Below are 18,029 nucleotides of genomic sequence, written 5' to 3'. Positions count from 1 at the left end.
TTGAATATTAGATTGTTCATCATTCTTTTTTTCTCTTACTAGTTAATTTACAACACTTACACATACAAATATTATAATAAATACTTAGGAAGATATGCAGTTTCATTTTAATAGTAGCTGTCTGCTAATACTTAAGCATTTTTTCATAAACAGTTTCTGTTGTCTGTTTGTGTATGTGTATGTAGGTGTGTTTGACAGGATGTTTACCCTATGAACACACCTTCAGTTGCACAACACTTTAGAAGAAATAACACATCCAAGTCCACTTTCTTCTTAAATTCTTAGGGGAAAGAGTATCCCTCTTCTCCTTTCGGATTGCTTGTCGCCTTGAAAAACTCCATTGTCTATTCACAAATAGTATAAAGGCCTTTTCAAGCCCTTCTTTTTCTTTTTAATTCTCTGTTTACTAAAGACAGTGGTTAAGACTAGATAAAGAGATAGAGAAACATCTTAGCTGTTTAAATGCCACGTCTTTTCAGGTTCTGTTCCATCCCTGGGATTGTGTGCTGTCCCATGAAAATACAATCTATAGAATGAGGAGAATACAAGAGTGTTAACACTCTATGTCAGTTGCTGTTCAAAATACAGTGACAAAATGGTCTGGAATTTGTAAGCAACTGCAGCTTTGCCCCATTTCCACTGCTCTGTTTTTGATGATTTTTTCCATCATAAAGAGATGAATCTGAAGTGTCAACAGTTACTTTTGGAGCAAGAAAAGGGTAGGATTGGGAAAATTTTTCCAAAGCCTAGTTTTATGAAACTACACTTTATGTTTATGTTCAGTAGCGGTGCTTCAGTGATTAGGTGTCCCTGGGTGACTTTTCCATGATATTTATATAGTGTGCCTTTAACTTTTTCAGAGGGCTTTTGCTTCTTTTCTTCCATAGTTCCACATATCTTTGGGCACCTGGAGTGACTACACTCTATATTGTATAGCTCATACAAAAACTTTCTATTTTGGTAACATTTAAGATGTCCTTTTTATATTGTGGAAACATTTTGGCAATTTAGGCAAAGAAAAAGACACCATTCACTAATATAATGTATTTGCAAATAGGTACAATATACTAGCTTTGCATAATGCTACTAGGAATCAAAGGTTTAATTTACAGAATGAATGACTATGTAATGCAGTCTTTAAATATGGAGAAAAAACCCTCTAAAACTGAAAAGCAACTCGAGCATCATTTTTTTTTCATTTTTGCATAAATTCCTTTCATAAACTAATCTTTTCCTTCAAGGTAATTGTGTTTAAAAGAAACCTGCAAAAGACAAAATAATAGATCTGTATAAGTTTAAATGGAAACAACTTACACCTATTCAACATGGTGGGGGAAGATTATAAATGCATGAATATGACAGAAGCATGTATTATAATTGGAAGGATGATGTTAAAAGGGAGACTTCCCGCTGTTCATGTGATTTACTTTTGAAGAACAATATATACATTAAATTATTCAATGGTTGATTGTAAGGGTTGATTTTGATTTGACATTTTTAATTCACTAACAAATTTTAGTATTAAATTTTAGCTATAATTAACTCAAATTTTAGTATTAAGTTGTAAAATAGACTTCTAAAATTATATGAAAATAAACTTAGTACAAAAATAATGTAATAATAAGTGTCTGATTCCTCCTCAAACCATATTATTTCCACAGGAGCTGATATAGTTTGGATGTTTTTTCCACCTGAAATGTGACCTCCAAAGTTGGAGGTGAGTCTCCTGGGAGGTGTCTGGGTCATGCGGATGGATCCTTCAGGAATGGTTTGATGCTGTCCTAGTGGTAATCAGTGAGTTCTCACTCTATGAGTTCATATGAGATCTGCTTGTTTAAAAGAGCCTGACACCTCCTCCCTCTCTCTCTTGCTTCATCTCTTGCCGTATGATACACCAGCTCCCCCTTCACCTTCCACCATGACTGTAAGCTCCCAGAGGCCTTCACCAGAAGCAGATGCCAGCACCATGCTTCCTGTATAGCCTGCAGAACCATGGGCCAAAATAAATGTCTTTTCTTCATAAATAACCCAGTCTTAGGTATTTCTTTATAGTAACACAAAATGGACTAACATAGAAAATTGGTACTGAGAAGTAAGGCATTGCTATAAAGATATCTGAAGATGTGGAAGTACTTTGGAACTGGGTAACAGCAAGAGGCTGGAAGAGTTTGGAGGCCTCAGAAGATGATGGGAAGATGAGGGAAATTTTGGAACTTCTGAGGGACTGGTTAAATGGTTATAACCAAAATGCTAATAGAAATATGGACAGTGAAGGCCAAACTGAAGAGGTCTCAGATTGAAATGATGAACTTATTTGGAACAAAAGCAAAAATTATCCTTGTCACTCTGTAGCAAAGAACTTGGGTGCATTGTGTCCCTACCCTACGTATCTGTGGAAGTTTGAATTTAAGAATGATGATTTAGGATACCTGGCAGAAGAAATCTCTAAGCAGCCAAGTGTTAAAGAAGTAGCCTGGCTACTTCTAACAGCCAATGATAAGATATGGGAGCAAAGAAATGACTTAAAGTTGGAGCTTATGAATAAAAAGGAAGCAGAACATAAAGGTTATCTTGCAGTAATGACTGAGTTATCACACTATGAGTTCATGTGAGACTTGGTTGTTTAAAAGAGCCTAGCACCTCTTCCCTCTCTCTCTTGATTCCCCTCTTGCCATGTAATACATTGTATCAGCTTCCCTTCTCCCTTGTGCCATGATTGTAAGCTGCCTGAGCGCCCCCAGAAGCAGATGCCAACACATGCTTCCTGGATATCCTGCCAAGCCATAAGCCAAAATAAACCTCTTTTCTTCATAAAGTATTCAGTTTCAGGTGTTCCTTTATAGTAATGCAAACAGACTAACACAGAAGCCATGGCATGTACAAATATATACACACTTGCAGGCACCCTATTACACTGGCATACACATACTATACACATATGCACATAAACCTGCTTTAGAAATCATTATCTAATTGTGTGAGAGGGAAAGAGTTTTTATGAGAACATTTAGCATCTTAATTATGTCTGGTTTAAGTTAAAACCAAAATTTATATGAAGACGTTGAATTTCTTTAGTTTACAGGAAGAAGACACATTTTTCTAATTTATATGAAGAAGATAAATTTACAATAATTAATAGCAATCAATTATATAGCACTTATTATGTGCCAGGCTCTTCACTAAGCATTTTAGATGTATACACTCATTTAATTATTTCAAGAACTGATGATATATGTTCTATCATCATCCCCATTTAATAGATGAGGAAATTAAAGCACAGAGTTTAAAGGATTCAAACTTTGTTAAGCTTATGGAGCAATTCCCAACCTCAACTTCAGCCTCTCTCTGTCCCATGAGTTTTTATTTTTATAACACCTATATTTTAAAATTGTTGCATATGTATTTATCTGCATGTTTATTGCCTGTCTTTTCATATAATATATAATCCAAACATGTTTAATGAGTTAATGAATTTAATAAGAATCAATCATTTACCTAGCACTACATTAAGTACTGAGATAACATGTTGAATAAGATAGATCTGTCTTCCAGGAGATCATTTTATAATAGAGGAGAAGGATAAGTAAAGAAGTAATAAAATCACAATATAATAAATGCTCAGAAAAAGTTCTACTGTAGAGGATGGAAAATTAATGTCATTGAAGGGAAAAATATATCGATAAGGAAAGCATCTGGGAAGAGGATACACCATTTACAAAGCTATAGGAGCAATAACCAGTAAGAACAGTCAGTAATTGTATCCTTTGAAACATGGAGTAAATCTGGAGGGAATTTTCAAGAAATGATACTGGAGAGAGAGGCTGGGAAAAGGTCTCAAAGGAGTTTATGTACCACGCTAACAATGATCAGAAACATCATTCTGGCTAGATTGTAGAAGACAGGTTAGTGAACTGTAGGCTTAGTAGGAGAAACATCAATGACTAGGATGCCTTAGCTAGGGTAATGTTAAATGCTGTACAGATAACCCCAGACCTCATTGTTTCATCACAACAGAAGTTTCTTTTTTTCTCACAGAAAGTCCAAAATAGCTGTTTCTTATTGATGGGTGGATCTACATAAGTCAGGAATTCAGATCTAGGTTATATTCCCCATCTTTCTTGTTTTGGCTTTGTTCTGCCTTATTTGTTGTTCTTTTACTTAAATTTGGTCATCCTTTCTTTCATTTTGAATAAGGATCTTTTTGTAGACTATTAAGTTCCATAGAGTGGCAGAATACAGTAGTGTGTCTTAATCAACACTTATTTTTAATTCCTAGCATGCAGAGACTAGAAGAATAAGAAAAAAAAATGACACTTTCCAGATTCCCTTGCAGCTAAGGTTCAAGATATGACTTAGGTTTTGCACAGTGGCATAAGTATTTAATTTAGAACTTAGTCACATGAAAAGGCAGGCAATATAAAATCCATCTTACTGATACACCGTATTACTGATATAGTTACTGGCAGAGGTACCTATTCTAGAGCACCCAGTTATAAGAGCAGCTCCCTGATTCAGCAAGTTCCTGATCACAGCAGAGGCAACAGCTCCCTGGGTACTCCATTTCTGTGAAATGGTTTGGAGAGGTGTTTCAGCATTCAGCTTCAAACTTATTTTCAACTATCCCAGTGATTTATGAGCTACCATTATCTTTTAATAAATCACTTTCTGCTTTCATTAACTAGAGAGGATTCTGTTGTCTGTAACTAAAAACTTGGACCATTATGAGCTGCATCAGCTATATTAGCCAAAATAATACCCAAGGCAGTTTCACGTGAGCTACGTGTGTGTGTGTGTGTGTGTGTGTGTGTGTGTGTGTGTGCAGGTGGTGAGCTAGCTCCACACAAGCTAGCTCATCTTATATATAAAAGGCTATAAGGCAACAGCTACATCTTTGAAGAGTAGTGCCTACAGAAACTCTCATCCCCTTCACTCTCCTCTGTTGTGGCTTTTGGATTTCCTTTGCAATTTTCTTTTCTTTTCCAGTCAACTAATCCTTCCTGTGACTATCTCTTATCCCCAATTTTCTCTTGAATTTACCCAATAATAGCTGAGTAAACAGAATCAAGAAGATTATGATGAACAACTATGTTCATTCCACATAGCCCAGTCCCCTAGTTCTAGTGCATGGTTCTTATCAGGGAAGGGGTGACATTCCAAACTCAGACACTTGTTCTACCTCCCCATTCTTATTTTTTCACAAACAAGATCTTTGACTCTGAAGTAATCAAATTCCCAGGTAAGTCTCAGTCAAGTTTCATTCTAAAATATAAATTCATCTAACTTCAGTACTCAAAAGCCATCATTAGCATTTATTTATGTGTTCACAGATAGATCTAAATAGAAAATAATAGATCTAAAATTTAGGTGTCCATGCATTCTTGGAGAGAGGGGTGAGTAGGGAGAATAAATAACATAGCAGGACCATTTTTACCCAACTTCCCCATCCTACTCATACTTATTAGCCACTAAAGGCCCTGGAAAAAAATCTCAAAAGTCCCACGTGCTTGTGTAACCCACAGGGTATCAGACTGTGTGAAAGAGTTAAACAGTAACACCTGGTCCACTGCCTCCCAGAATGACTGTTTAACGTGCCAAGAAGAAAGGTCATGGCCTCCTTGTTTCTGCCCAGTCGAGTAGCTGTTTTCAGTTTGGGTTTTTTCCACCAAAGCGACTTTAAAACACTGCTCCCATAGCCACAACATGCATAAAGAACACAGACAAAGATTTCCGGGGATAGAATGACAGAGAATTGTAGCGTCACACAGCTCCAGCCAGCATTTGGCAGAGCATAATGGAGAAGAGTAAAACCTCCCATAGAATTCAATTGATAAAGACTCAGTACTTAAAGACTGCTTTGAGGCTGCGTATAATAAAATACCAGTGGAACAGGGAGCCTGGAATGCCTGGTGAGGCAGGGCTTTAATTTGTTTTACTGAGCAGAGTACCAGCTGCTTCTCTGTTTAAGCAGAGGTTAAAAAAAGAAAAAAAAAAGAAAGAAAGAAAGCTGTCTTGGAGCTGATCTTCTCTACTCTGTGCGGTTACACACTTATGCAAATGTAAGGCATAAAGTCACTCCTAAGTGAACAAATCTTCCACTAGATTTAGCAGGTTTCACCTAACTCTTGGTAATCAGAGCCCCCAACATGGGTGCACCAGTTTGCATAAGAAACTCTTGGTAAATAAAGAAAGCAAAATTTCAACCACTTTCCTGAGATGAGAAATTAGGAAAAGCCATTTAAATTAGGAAAAACCCAGGAGAAGATAGCCCTGACTAAATTCTGCTGACACATAAGATCCCTAAGGAGAGTTCGCTGTCAGGGAAGAGAGAGAGTATATATGGTTGACTTGGGCTCAGTGGAATTTCCTAAGGAGAGAAATTCCTTATTGTTCTAATTTATAACTGCAGAAACAGTGACAGAAAGCTATGATTTGGGGCTCAAATATGGAATACCAGCATAATCTGCCCAAGGATCTGAACCATTTAATGTATCATCACTAGAGAACCAATAATGTTCAATAGTAACCTATGGTAGCAAAGATGCAATGAACTGGTTGTACCTTTCTGGTATACTTCTTCCACTTGGCTTTCAGAAGCAGGGCTGACATGTGGTAGGCCAAGCCCAAGCCTTGAAGATCCAATGTCTTCTTGGCCTTATTTGTACTTGTGTACAGACTTCTTAGTATTACATTGTTGAAATGTTATGGTACAAGATAATGCAAATGACAAAGTAAAAATTGTAATACAGAACCTGGATCTGGAAGAAATGCTAAAGGCAACTTTTGCTCTTATATCAGGTAATTATTTCAGAGATGTGGAGTGTGGTTAGGATTTAATAAAGTTGGTGTGATGAACAGAACTTAAGGAAAACTCCAATGATTTGCACCTCCTGGTGTCTCTTTGTGTCCATGCCTTTATGTAATCTCCCATCTTGAGTGTATGTGGGACCTATGACTTGCTTCTGATCAATAAGATGAGGGAAAGGTGATAGGATGCCATTCTCATGATTATGTTATGTTACATGAGACTCAGTGTTAGCAGGATAGAGAAAGAGATTCTCCTTGCTGGCTTAATAAGTAAGCAGCCATGGGTAAGGAAGCCTACACAGCAAGAAACTGGAGGTGACTTGTAGGAACTGCAAGTGCCCTCTAGAACCTAAGGGTGGTCTCCAGATGACACCCAGCAAAACCCGCAACAGTCATACAGCTTCAAGAAGATGAATGCTGCCAACAAGCTGAAAGAGCTTCCAAACAGATTCTTCCCCAGCCAAGCCTTCAAATGGGAAAACAACTCTTTGAACATCTTGATTGCAATTTTATAAAACCCTAAACAGGACCTAGTTAAACTATGGTCAGACTCCTGACCCACAGATGTGAGACAAGAAATATGTGTTGTTTTAAGCCACTTAATTTGAAGTAATTTGTTACACAGCAATAGAAAATTTTTACTATGTTACTCTTGATGAACCCCACCAAGAATGGCCCTGACCTGGGAGGCTGTACCTCAGACAGGCAGATGACCCTTGCTGGGATCCAAATACATTTCCTATAAAGAAACTAGGATCCTGGAGAAGGAGCTTCCATCAGCATAATATTTTCTCAGATGTTTGGCTGAGAAAGTACTTTGAGCTTACTGCATGAAATGTAATTGTATAAGACATAATGTGTCTGAGTGCTCTTTTTCATCAGCCCTCAAGTCTCCAAGGAGCTCATTCTTGTCCCTTCCTTTAGAGGCAGGGGACACATAGCTCCTGCAATTATAGAGGATAGAAATGAAGGTTTAAGTAAAAGAAAAGATGTTGAAATAGCAAAGGAGGAACCATTCACCTAATCCACATTGCTACTTCTTATGGTTATTTTCAGTTAAAAAATTTCTAGCAGCAACCCTCATAATACTGGGTTGCGTATGAAGGAGACTTTAAGTGTGATGTGGTAGAAATCATCCTCATATTAACAAGGGCTCAGGAATTCACTGGAAATATCATAGAAGTTTTTAGGGACATACTGGATATATATCCTTTATATATAATTTACATTTGAGCAACTATGTACAGTTTTATCAACATTTTAATAATTTTTGTTGTCTATCACAAGAATTCATTTTTTTCTCCTGTTATCCCAATGTTTACTTTATCAAAGATCTTTTCACATCTCAAGGCCTCTGAGTAGGCAAAGGCCTCAGATCTCTGTCATTCAACAAAAGGCACCCCACATCCTCATTGACTCCTTAAGCTTCTGAGGAAACCCCAGAAAAGCCCATAAAAGCCCTTTTTCTCCCCAGTTTGTCTACCTTCCCCCTCCACAAGTTTAGGCTTTAAAGACAAAACAATCCAACAAAGAGTAGACGCAGTGTTCTTTTGGGACTCTGACCAGTTTAGCATTTATTCCTGCCACAAAAATGAGTCAAGACCTTCACAAGGCAAAGAGTTCAGAACTCAGAGCACAATACCTGACAACCTTCTCAAGTTTTTGGAAGAAGTGATGAGCAAGACTTCTCACATCTTCCAGGTTCATGTGGTGAGAACATAGGACAAATTAATATCAGCAAAATATCTTGCCACTTCATACCAGGTTAAATAGCCTTTATATATAGATACCTTAAGTGGTGGCCGATACCTCACCATCAACATCAAGGATCTGGTATTCAGACTGACAAAACCAGGTAAGCAATGACGCCAACATAATACTGTTAGTTCTCCCTAAAAGTGTCACAAGTTAGGAATACTTCAGGGAAAAGAGATGAAGACGATTGTTTTATTAGAAACCTACAGAAACAGGCAGATAAACTCTTGGCACTGAGAAGTAATAGGGAAAGAAAACATTTAGTGCCCACCTCCCCACCCCTTTACCAAGTTTCTACCTTTCTCCTGTATTACTGTCTAGCCTTTGACCTCTCACACTGACTCCCAAGCAACAGGTATAAACATTGCCTTTGGGTTAATAACTGTACGTACTGCCCAATCCTTGAGGGGTGAGAAGTCCTCAATTTTATTGTTATTAGCATGATGATTTTATGTTTTTCCAAGCTGGATCTTTGCATTTTGTTCTCAATTAATTTTTGTCCCAAAGGAAACATTGTTTTTCAAGGTGATTCAGTTCTACTAGACTGTACAGATTTTATGGCATTATTGGATTAAATAGGCCTTATGGGCTTACCTTGGGAACCCAGACACCATTTATAACATTTCTGTGGGGAAAATTCATTTCGAGTTCTAAACTACCAGCTCCACAAAAAGCTCATGAGTAAACCAGTTATACCTTCTTAATTTTTATTTATTTATTTATTTATTTATTTATTTATTTATTTATTTATTTTTTTTGAGACGGAGTCTCGCTCTGTCGCCCAGGCTGGAGTGCAGTGGCGGGATCTCGGCTCACTGCAAGCTCCGCCTCCCGGGTTCACGCCATTCTCCTGCCTCAGCCTCCCAAGTAGCTGGGACTACAGGCGCCCGCCACTACGCCCGGCTAATTTTTTGTATTTTTAGTAGAGACGGGGTTTCACCGTTTTAGCCGGGATGGTCTCGATCTCCTGACCTCGTGATCCGCCCGCCTCGGCCTCCCAAAGTGCTGGGATTACAGGCGTGAGCCACTGCGCCCGGCCATTTTTTTATTTTTTTAGCCTTGCATTTGCCCGTGAGAGGAGCAGCCACACTGGAACGAGCTGCATTCTTTTAACTAACTTCTTTTATCAGTCAGAATGCTTTTGTCTGTAAGTAACAGAAGACCCTGCTAAATGCGGCTTAAACAATAAGGGCATTTATTATGACATTCACCAAGAAGTCCAGGGAGAAGTAGATCTAAGAATTGGCTCAGTAGCCTAACAATGCCTTAAAGTATCTAAGCTCTTTCTAACCTCCCTGCTTTGCCAGGCTCTGCACGTCTTCAGTCTTCCTCATCCTCGACCCCTAGGCAGTAGAAACTCTATGCATCACATCCTCATAACAGCATCCAAAGGCAGGAAACGAAAGAGATGGAGGTATTTTCTCCTCATGCATATTTCTTTTATTAGGAAGAAACCTTTCCCAGGAGTCCTGCAACAGACTTTCTCTCAGCTCCTATTGGCCAGACCTCAGTCAAAGGCAAACCCCAACTGAATCCCTGATGAAAACAGAATGAGGTTGTGACATATATCCTTCATGTTTCATACCCTGTGCTGGTGAGAGGTGACAGCGTGCTGGCAGTCCTCACAGCCCTCGCTCGCTCTCGGCGCCTCCTCTGCCTGGGCTCCCAATTTGGCGGCACTTGAGGAGCCCCTCAGCCCACCGCTGCACTGTGGGAGCCCCTTTCTGGGCTGGCCGAGGCCGGAGACGGCTCCCTCAGCTTGCAGGGAGGTGTGGAGGGAGAGGCGCGAGCAGGAACTGGGGCGCTTGCAGGCCAGCTGGAGTTCCCGGCAGGCCCGGCACTGGGAGCAGCCGGCCCACCCTGCCGGCCCGGGCAATGAGGGGCTTAGCACCTGGGCCAGCGGCTGCAGAGGGTGTATTGGGTCCCCTAGCAGTGCCAGCCCACCGGCGCTGCGCTCGATTTCTCGCCTGGCCTTAGCTGCCTTCCCGCGGGGCAGGGCTCGGGACCTGCAGCCCGCCATGCCTGAGCCTCCCACCCACTCCGTGAGCTCCTGTGCGGCCCCAGCCTCCCTGACGAGCGCCACCCCCTGCTCCACGGCACCCAGCCCTATCGACCACCCAAGGGCTGAGGAGTGTGGGTGCAGGGCGTGGGACTGGCAGGCAGCTCCACCTGCAGCCCCGGTGCGGGATCCACTGGGTAAAGCCAGCTGGGCTCCTGAGTCTGGTGGGGAAGTGGAGAACCTTTATGTCTAGCTCGGGGATTGTAAATACACCAATCAGCACCCTGTGTCTAGCTCAGGGTTTGTAAACACACCAATCAGCACTCTGTGTCTAGCTCAGGGTTTGTGAACGCACCAATCGACACTCTGTATCTAGCTACTCTGGTGGGGCTTTGGAGAACCTTTATGTCTTCACTCTGTATCTAGCTAATATGGTGGGGAGGTGGAGAACCTTTGTGTCTAGCTCAGGGATTGTAAACGCACCAATCAGCGTCCTGTCAAAACAGACCGCTGGGCTCTACCAATCAGCAGGATGTGGGTGGGGCCAGATAAGAGAATAAAAGCAGGCTGCCCAAGCCAGCAGTGGCAACCCGCCGTGGTCCCCACTCCACGCTGTGGAAGCTTTGTTTTTTCACTCTTTGCAATAAATCTTGCTGCTGCTAACTTTTTGGGTCCACACTGTCTTTATGAGCTGTGACACTGACAGCGAAGGTCTGCAGCTTCACTCCTGAAGCCAACAAGACCACGAACCCACCGGGAGGAACTACCAATTCCAGACGCGCCGCCTTAAGAGCTGTAACACTCACCTCCAGGGTCCGCGACTTCACTCCTGAGCCAGCGAGACCACGAACCCACCAGAAGGAAGAAACTCCGAACACATCCGAACATCAGAAGGAACAAAAGTCCAGACGCGCCACCTTAAGAGCTGTAACACTCACCGCGAGGGTCTGCAGCTTCATTCTTGAAGTCAGTGAGACCAAGAACCCACCAATTCCGGACACACGGGGAGTAGGGCACATCTTTGCTTAGAACATTTTCCCCAAACTTGAACAAAATTAGGGTTCAGTAAGGAAATAAGAAGAGGAGGTTGGTTGTCGGTAGGTAACAAATAGCATATGTCTTAGTGTAATTTTACCAGTTTTTATTTCCTTTTGCTTAAGAGGTTCGCTGTAGACTGGTAACATATGGCACTGGGCTGCAAAGATGAGACTGTAATGGGATACAAAACACATTAACAAAACGCATGCTAAATTACAATGCTATGGTCGTGCTGCAAACGTAATGTTGTGAAATTATATTCCTGATTAGAAAGTATAAATTGTGCAATGCTATTTGGATGTTAGAGTGATTCATTGAGCTTAAAGACATAAAGCATAGAAAGCTCCCTAGTGCTAGCAATACCCATTTTTCATTGACCTATGTCCAACGAACCAAAAGAGAACCCATGTGGAATTCTCATACAAATGAGAACGTTAGTTAATATACCACCTACTATACATTGAAATCACGGCAGGTTTTCAACGGTTAGTGACACAGAAAATATTTGTCCAGGGACTGTTAGCAGTAGTTTTTTCCAAAGCAATATCCCCTGAATTAGAGCCAAGTACAACCAACAGTACAATCACCAAGGATCCTCTTCTCCAGTAATAAGCCCAGAGGTTCTGTTTAATAAAAATTATTACTCCTTTTGTAAAAATTCTACTCCTTATCACAAGGTTATACAAAAATAATTCATGGCTTCGAAAACATACCGTAAGTCAATTCCTTTGTCTCAACAAGATTTGGCAACTCCTGTTATAGACCTATAGAAGAGACCTGTGTTCCAATACCAACCCAATTCCAGTGAAGCAGTCAGACAGAGGCAAGGTTATAGCCAAACTCAATTCTATACGTCAGCAACAAAGCTGCGACATTTCAACACATAGAACGTCAAAGTCAAAGGTCTACTAAAACTTTTTCTAGGAATACAGTGGTCCATGGAAGAGAGGGTGGCCCTTCTAAAACCATACTGCTGTTTAGAACTTTATGACAAGATCTTGGTCTGAGAGAGTTCATGTCCTCTCTCCCCTGGGCTGCAAAGGTGAGACTTTAATGGATACAAAACACATTAACAAACTGCATGCTAAATTTTCTCTCTCCTCTAGCTTTGAAATGTCATGGAGTAATACTAACCACGTGTCATTAGGATTTTCTTTGACTTACCGCTTTTCCTAGATGGAGCCAAGAGGAGTGAAGGCTGGAATCCTTAAAACTCTGTGTTGAATTTCAATAGTGTCTTTCTTCCTAAACTTTAGTTGGAGAGTGAGGATCAAAGGATTCCAAAAAGGCAGAGTCTTCTCACTACACAGGGTTTAATTGTGTGTCTGAAAGTGAAGAAAGCAATTCTTAAAGAGCTTATAATGTTGTTTTTTTTTCTTTTTGCACAAAACCAAAGGAAAAAAAGACAATAAAGAGAAGTACTCAGAACACACCTAAATAGAAAAGAAATATTTTTAATTGCAGTGAAAATTGTCTTCAATGGCAAGTAAAGCAACCTTAAAATGAGAAATAAACAAACAATGTTGAGGTGACCTAAACCTATCCATGTCGTGTCAGTTTGAACCCCTAATGACTGTATTGTTTGCAATGAACATTCTAACATTGCATTGTCCTAGCAAATTTGAATTATGATCTTAATCAATTAATCAATATTTATTTATTGAATGTTCAGCATTAGCCTTGATTCTGTGTTAAGGGTTAAAGAGACTATAAAATGCAAAGCCTATTTCAAGGAGTTTACACTATTGTTGAGAAGATGACTATTATACTTAAATCAGTAGGGCACAAATGCAGATACCATATAATTTAAATGCTAAAATTGCATGCAATCTAAAATATACACACTTTTATACATTTGTAGTATTTTATTTTCATCTACCTTCCTCTTTTGACTCTCTGGACATGCAATTCCTTCCCATGACCTTAACAATTGATCTTTTTAATGTGAGTAAATTGCCAAGCCTAATGTGCTGCAGATTTTGTCTAAAGCTGGCGTTTGTGACATTCTCTGACTGCCTTTACAAAGTCCAAAATAAAACTAAGCCAAAGTACTCCCAAACTTTTTATACTGTGAATACTTTCTTTTTGCTTTAGAATTGTTTGGAATTACTCCTAAGGAAAAAAAAACAGACTTTAGTGAAGTTGAAGAATTAATTGGGCTTTCTGCAGTTCTGTCAATACACGGGAAAGCTTCTGTCTATCCAGATCCTGCCAGAAAATAACAAAAGGTTTTCACTGACATGCAAAGCAAGAGTTCATTTAATTTTTCAGAATTCTATTTTTCAACTCTGTGTTCATTAGTTGAGTTTGTCTTCTTTGTCCTTAATTATGTTGTCTTATGTGCTGCAAGCTTTATATTTTAAAAACATATATAATTAATTACAAAATTAAATATTTGTGCTTAACTGGAGGATGGAGAGAAGTGGCTTATTATGATCCTGTAAAAAGAAAAACCAAAGTAACTATGATGTTCAAATATCCAAGAAAATAATACATGCTTAAAAAGCGAAGTATCTAGCTATAATTATTTTCTTTTCCATCCAAGAATTAACCAGCTAACTAAATATAGCTTTTACTAAATCAATTCTACATCATACATAAACTTTAATGTGAAAATCTTACCAAACAAAAATCTTCCACTTAGAACCTATTCAAAATATTGACAAAAGATTTTCTTTCTGAAACTGAGAAATTTGAATTAGAGATGCTATGTAACAATGAAACGTTAACTTAATGAGTCTATTATGCCATCGATAGACAAATATGTAGAAAATGTTTTTAATCTCATAGAAAGAAAATGGTCTTGGTATCCCTTATTTCTTCCCATCTTATTGTGAAATAATATTTTATGAGGCTAATTGTTCAACAACTGCTATCTTATCTGTGAAAGGAAATTGCTTTTTTAAAAAAGTAGGCCAAATAAAATAGGCCAACTTGTTTATGAACAAAGTATTTTAATCCACTCACTCATAGTTCTTGGCTTTTGACAAGAAGTCTCTGACATCTGAAATGGAAATATTCACTGTATAATTACACAACTTTAACATGTATATATATATATATTCATGCTAAAAATTTTAGATGAGCTTATTTGAATAGTGTAGGCCATCCATTAAAATTGAGAAACTTATTCAGTTGGATTTGTTATTCCTAAACATATCCTCATATGACATTGGAACTGTTTCCTGCCACGTATTGGCATATAGTTTTAAAGTTACAAAATTTTTTCTTCTGGCCACTAATTTAAACAAGTCTCCAGTAGAACAAAGGTAACTTATACTCTGCATCATGTTCACTAAAAACTCAATTATAAAGAGATTACAATGTACGGCTGATAAATGATGTAATTTGATAAGCAATTTTTAATGCTATGCTTTAAGATAACAAAGGAAAATTTATAAAAATGTTAGTTTGAGAAGTAGGAATTTTCAGATGAATTGAAGTTTTTCTATATAAAAACTATGTAGCCCAATCTTTTCATTTTGAACTTTCCTGTAGGCCTCAAAAGACAAAAAATGGTTTCCCAAGAGGACTATATTTTTAGTCATCAAAATGTTATCATCATTACTGAGACATTTATATTGGGACATGTAATTAACATTCAATGTAGTATAACAAATCCCATAGTCTTAATGCTTTATTCATTTATTTCTTACCATTATTTGGGTAACTATAGCTATCAAAATATTATAAAATAATATATGTAATAATAAATTCTAGCTACAATTATGACGGATAATAAGCAACCACTAACATATCAATGGCTTACAAAAACAAACATTATTGTTTTTCCATTTATAAATATGTAGGGTGGCTGCAGATCCTCTAATTTCAGCTGGGCTTACCAGGCAGGACTCGGCTAGGCTCGACTAAACTCCAGGCCTGGGACTGGGTTCAAACCTGTTCCACCTGTCTTCATCACTCTGGGACTAGAGGCTACTCAAGCATATTTTTCTCACGGAGCAGAAACACAAGAACTCAAGCCTAACCACATTGGCACATTGAAACTCCTGCTCATTCTCTGGCCATTCACATTGGTCACATGGCCAAGCCCAACATCAATAAAGTGCGGAAATATATTTCATCTACCCTAGTAAGAAGGAGATAATACCAAATCACTTTGCAAAAGGGTGTGCAATTCTAGAACAAGAAAAGAATGAAGAATTGGGGACAATAATATTCTACAATATTTTTTGCAATACATCATAGTAGACATTTATTACTTTTAATTTCATAAATATACTTGCACACTTTGAGGAATAAGCTCATGATAATTAAGGTAAAATAATCTACTTGTAATAATAATTTAAAGTTGAAAATTTAGCCAGAATTTATGCCAGTTTATATTATGCCAGTTTAGGTTAAACATACATTTAAAAATTAATTGGATTCTTAACATATGAGTGCATTTAAATTATATCTCCCAGAACAAACCAAATGAATATGATAACATCATTTGAAAAATTATTTAATGACGGCACTGTTTGAATAGTGTACCTTTTCCTCTTGATGATTGGAAATAACATTTTTCCTAGCATAACTTTAGGGCAAAGAGCAGACAGTAATAGAAATCTAACATTTTTCTTACATGTTAACAAAAAATATTTTCTAACATGATTATATGATGTTCTACCAGAAAATTGTGTTACATAGTAGATCTAATGTCAATAGAAACTCAAATACGCTGGAATGTAAAGTCTATAACTATTTCAGCACCCTCACCAAGTGTGGCTACTTCTCTGAGCACCCACCTCCAGGGCTAACTGAGAACTATAAATAATCCATTTGATTCTTGACATTACTGCCCAGAGTGGTGAGAAATGAAAAGGCTGTGACATGTTTTTTTATTCTGATTTTGTCTTTGTTTTTGGTGCCTGTTTTTATTGCATGAATTTTTAAATGTTGAAATGTGTTATTTAAGAATCACCCTAAGTCATATTAAAGTATAATGGCTAAAAGAAAAACCAAAGATCTTTTTTAGTACTTCTCTACTTAAAAATCTTCAATGACTCCCAAGTTACCTACAGAAAGTAGTTTTCAGCCATTTAGCTTTCTAACTTTATCAACCCTATTCTCTTATCCTCCAGCCAAATTAAGCCATTCCCTGTTTCTAAAACTTGTCCAAGGCTAGCCCACCTTTTTAATTTTTTTCTGGCTGTTTCCTCTATAAGACACTTCCTTCCCAATTATCCACAGCCCTGCTGACCTCCAAACATTTACTTCTATTAAGAACTCAGAACTTTCCTCACAAACTTTTTCTCATAACCCCAAGACTATGAGTTCCCATTGTCTCACCCCATCCCTACTTCTGGTGGTACTTAAAATAGTCTACCTTTTGTGTAATTTGTCAATAGTCATTTATTAAGTACCTGCTGTGTGTCAGGAGATTGTTCTTGCTCTTTATAAGCTCAGTCTATTTTGCATGTTTGCTCTATTGTAACAAAGCATAAGCTCCCTGAGATCAGACTGTCTTGTTCATTTTTCTCTTCTCTGTGAGGGGCTAGCATATTCACTTACACACAGTAGGAGCTCAATAAATATTTACATGAAGAAATAGTAATGTGGAGGAAAGTCTCAGTAATTTTTATTCATTTGGTCGATGACTTCTCACAAAATGATATAAAATATGACTTTAGACTTCAGCAAAAGCACCTGGATCATAGACACTCAATAAACTGTAGCAGGGTCATTAGAGGTAATTGGATCTATTTGAGCCAGAAAAAGACTGTGCTGTTTGCCTCGAGGCATTTAAAATTAAAGCTAGAACCTTATTTGTATGAAATAGCTTGAGTGTGGGTATGCATAACAGCTGCAACTTCTCAAGACTATTACAGTTCTATAGTAAGAATTTTCAATATTCAAACAGTAAACAATAAACTGAAAAAAAGATATAGATACTCTAACCTGTAACACTTTATTTATATAATTAGACATCTCCAAATTAATCAACTAATTTTAGTTGCATAAAATAATAAAGCTGCTAAAATTTTGTATTTTTAATGTTTTTATCCTCTTTGATCTTTTTCTATCTTCCTTAAGTACAACTTTTATATGCCATTAATTGCTCAAAAACATAAAGTAGCCCATTATTTCTTTATAGGCATGAGAGTCTAAAGCTAGAATAGACTGGAAATCATTGAGTTTTATCTGCTAATTTTACTCAGAATCAACTGAGGCCCATAGAAGTCATTACTGAAGTCTCATAACCTATCAGAAATTAAACTGTGACTGGAATCCAGGTCTCCTGACATAATGTTCTTCCTGCTTCACCATCTTATACATTTTTAAACTCTTTGTTTTTCAAGATCTCTACGATGACACTTCATTATTAAAGTTACTTAAACTTACTTCCTAACTCTCCTCCCAAAACAAATCTTCACTCAGGATGACTACCTTCTATCATACCTACTCTTGTCATGAAAATTATTTCCTT

Source organism: Homo sapiens, chromosome 3, assembly GCF_000001405.40.
Source record: "Homo sapiens chromosome 3, GRCh38.p14 Primary Assembly".
In the NCBI taxonomy this organism is placed as follows: domain Eukaryota; kingdom Metazoa; phylum Chordata; class Mammalia; order Primates; family Hominidae; genus Homo; species Homo sapiens.
The sequence above is the reverse complement of the archived record's forward strand: the minus strand, read 5'-3'. Positions refer to the sequence as shown.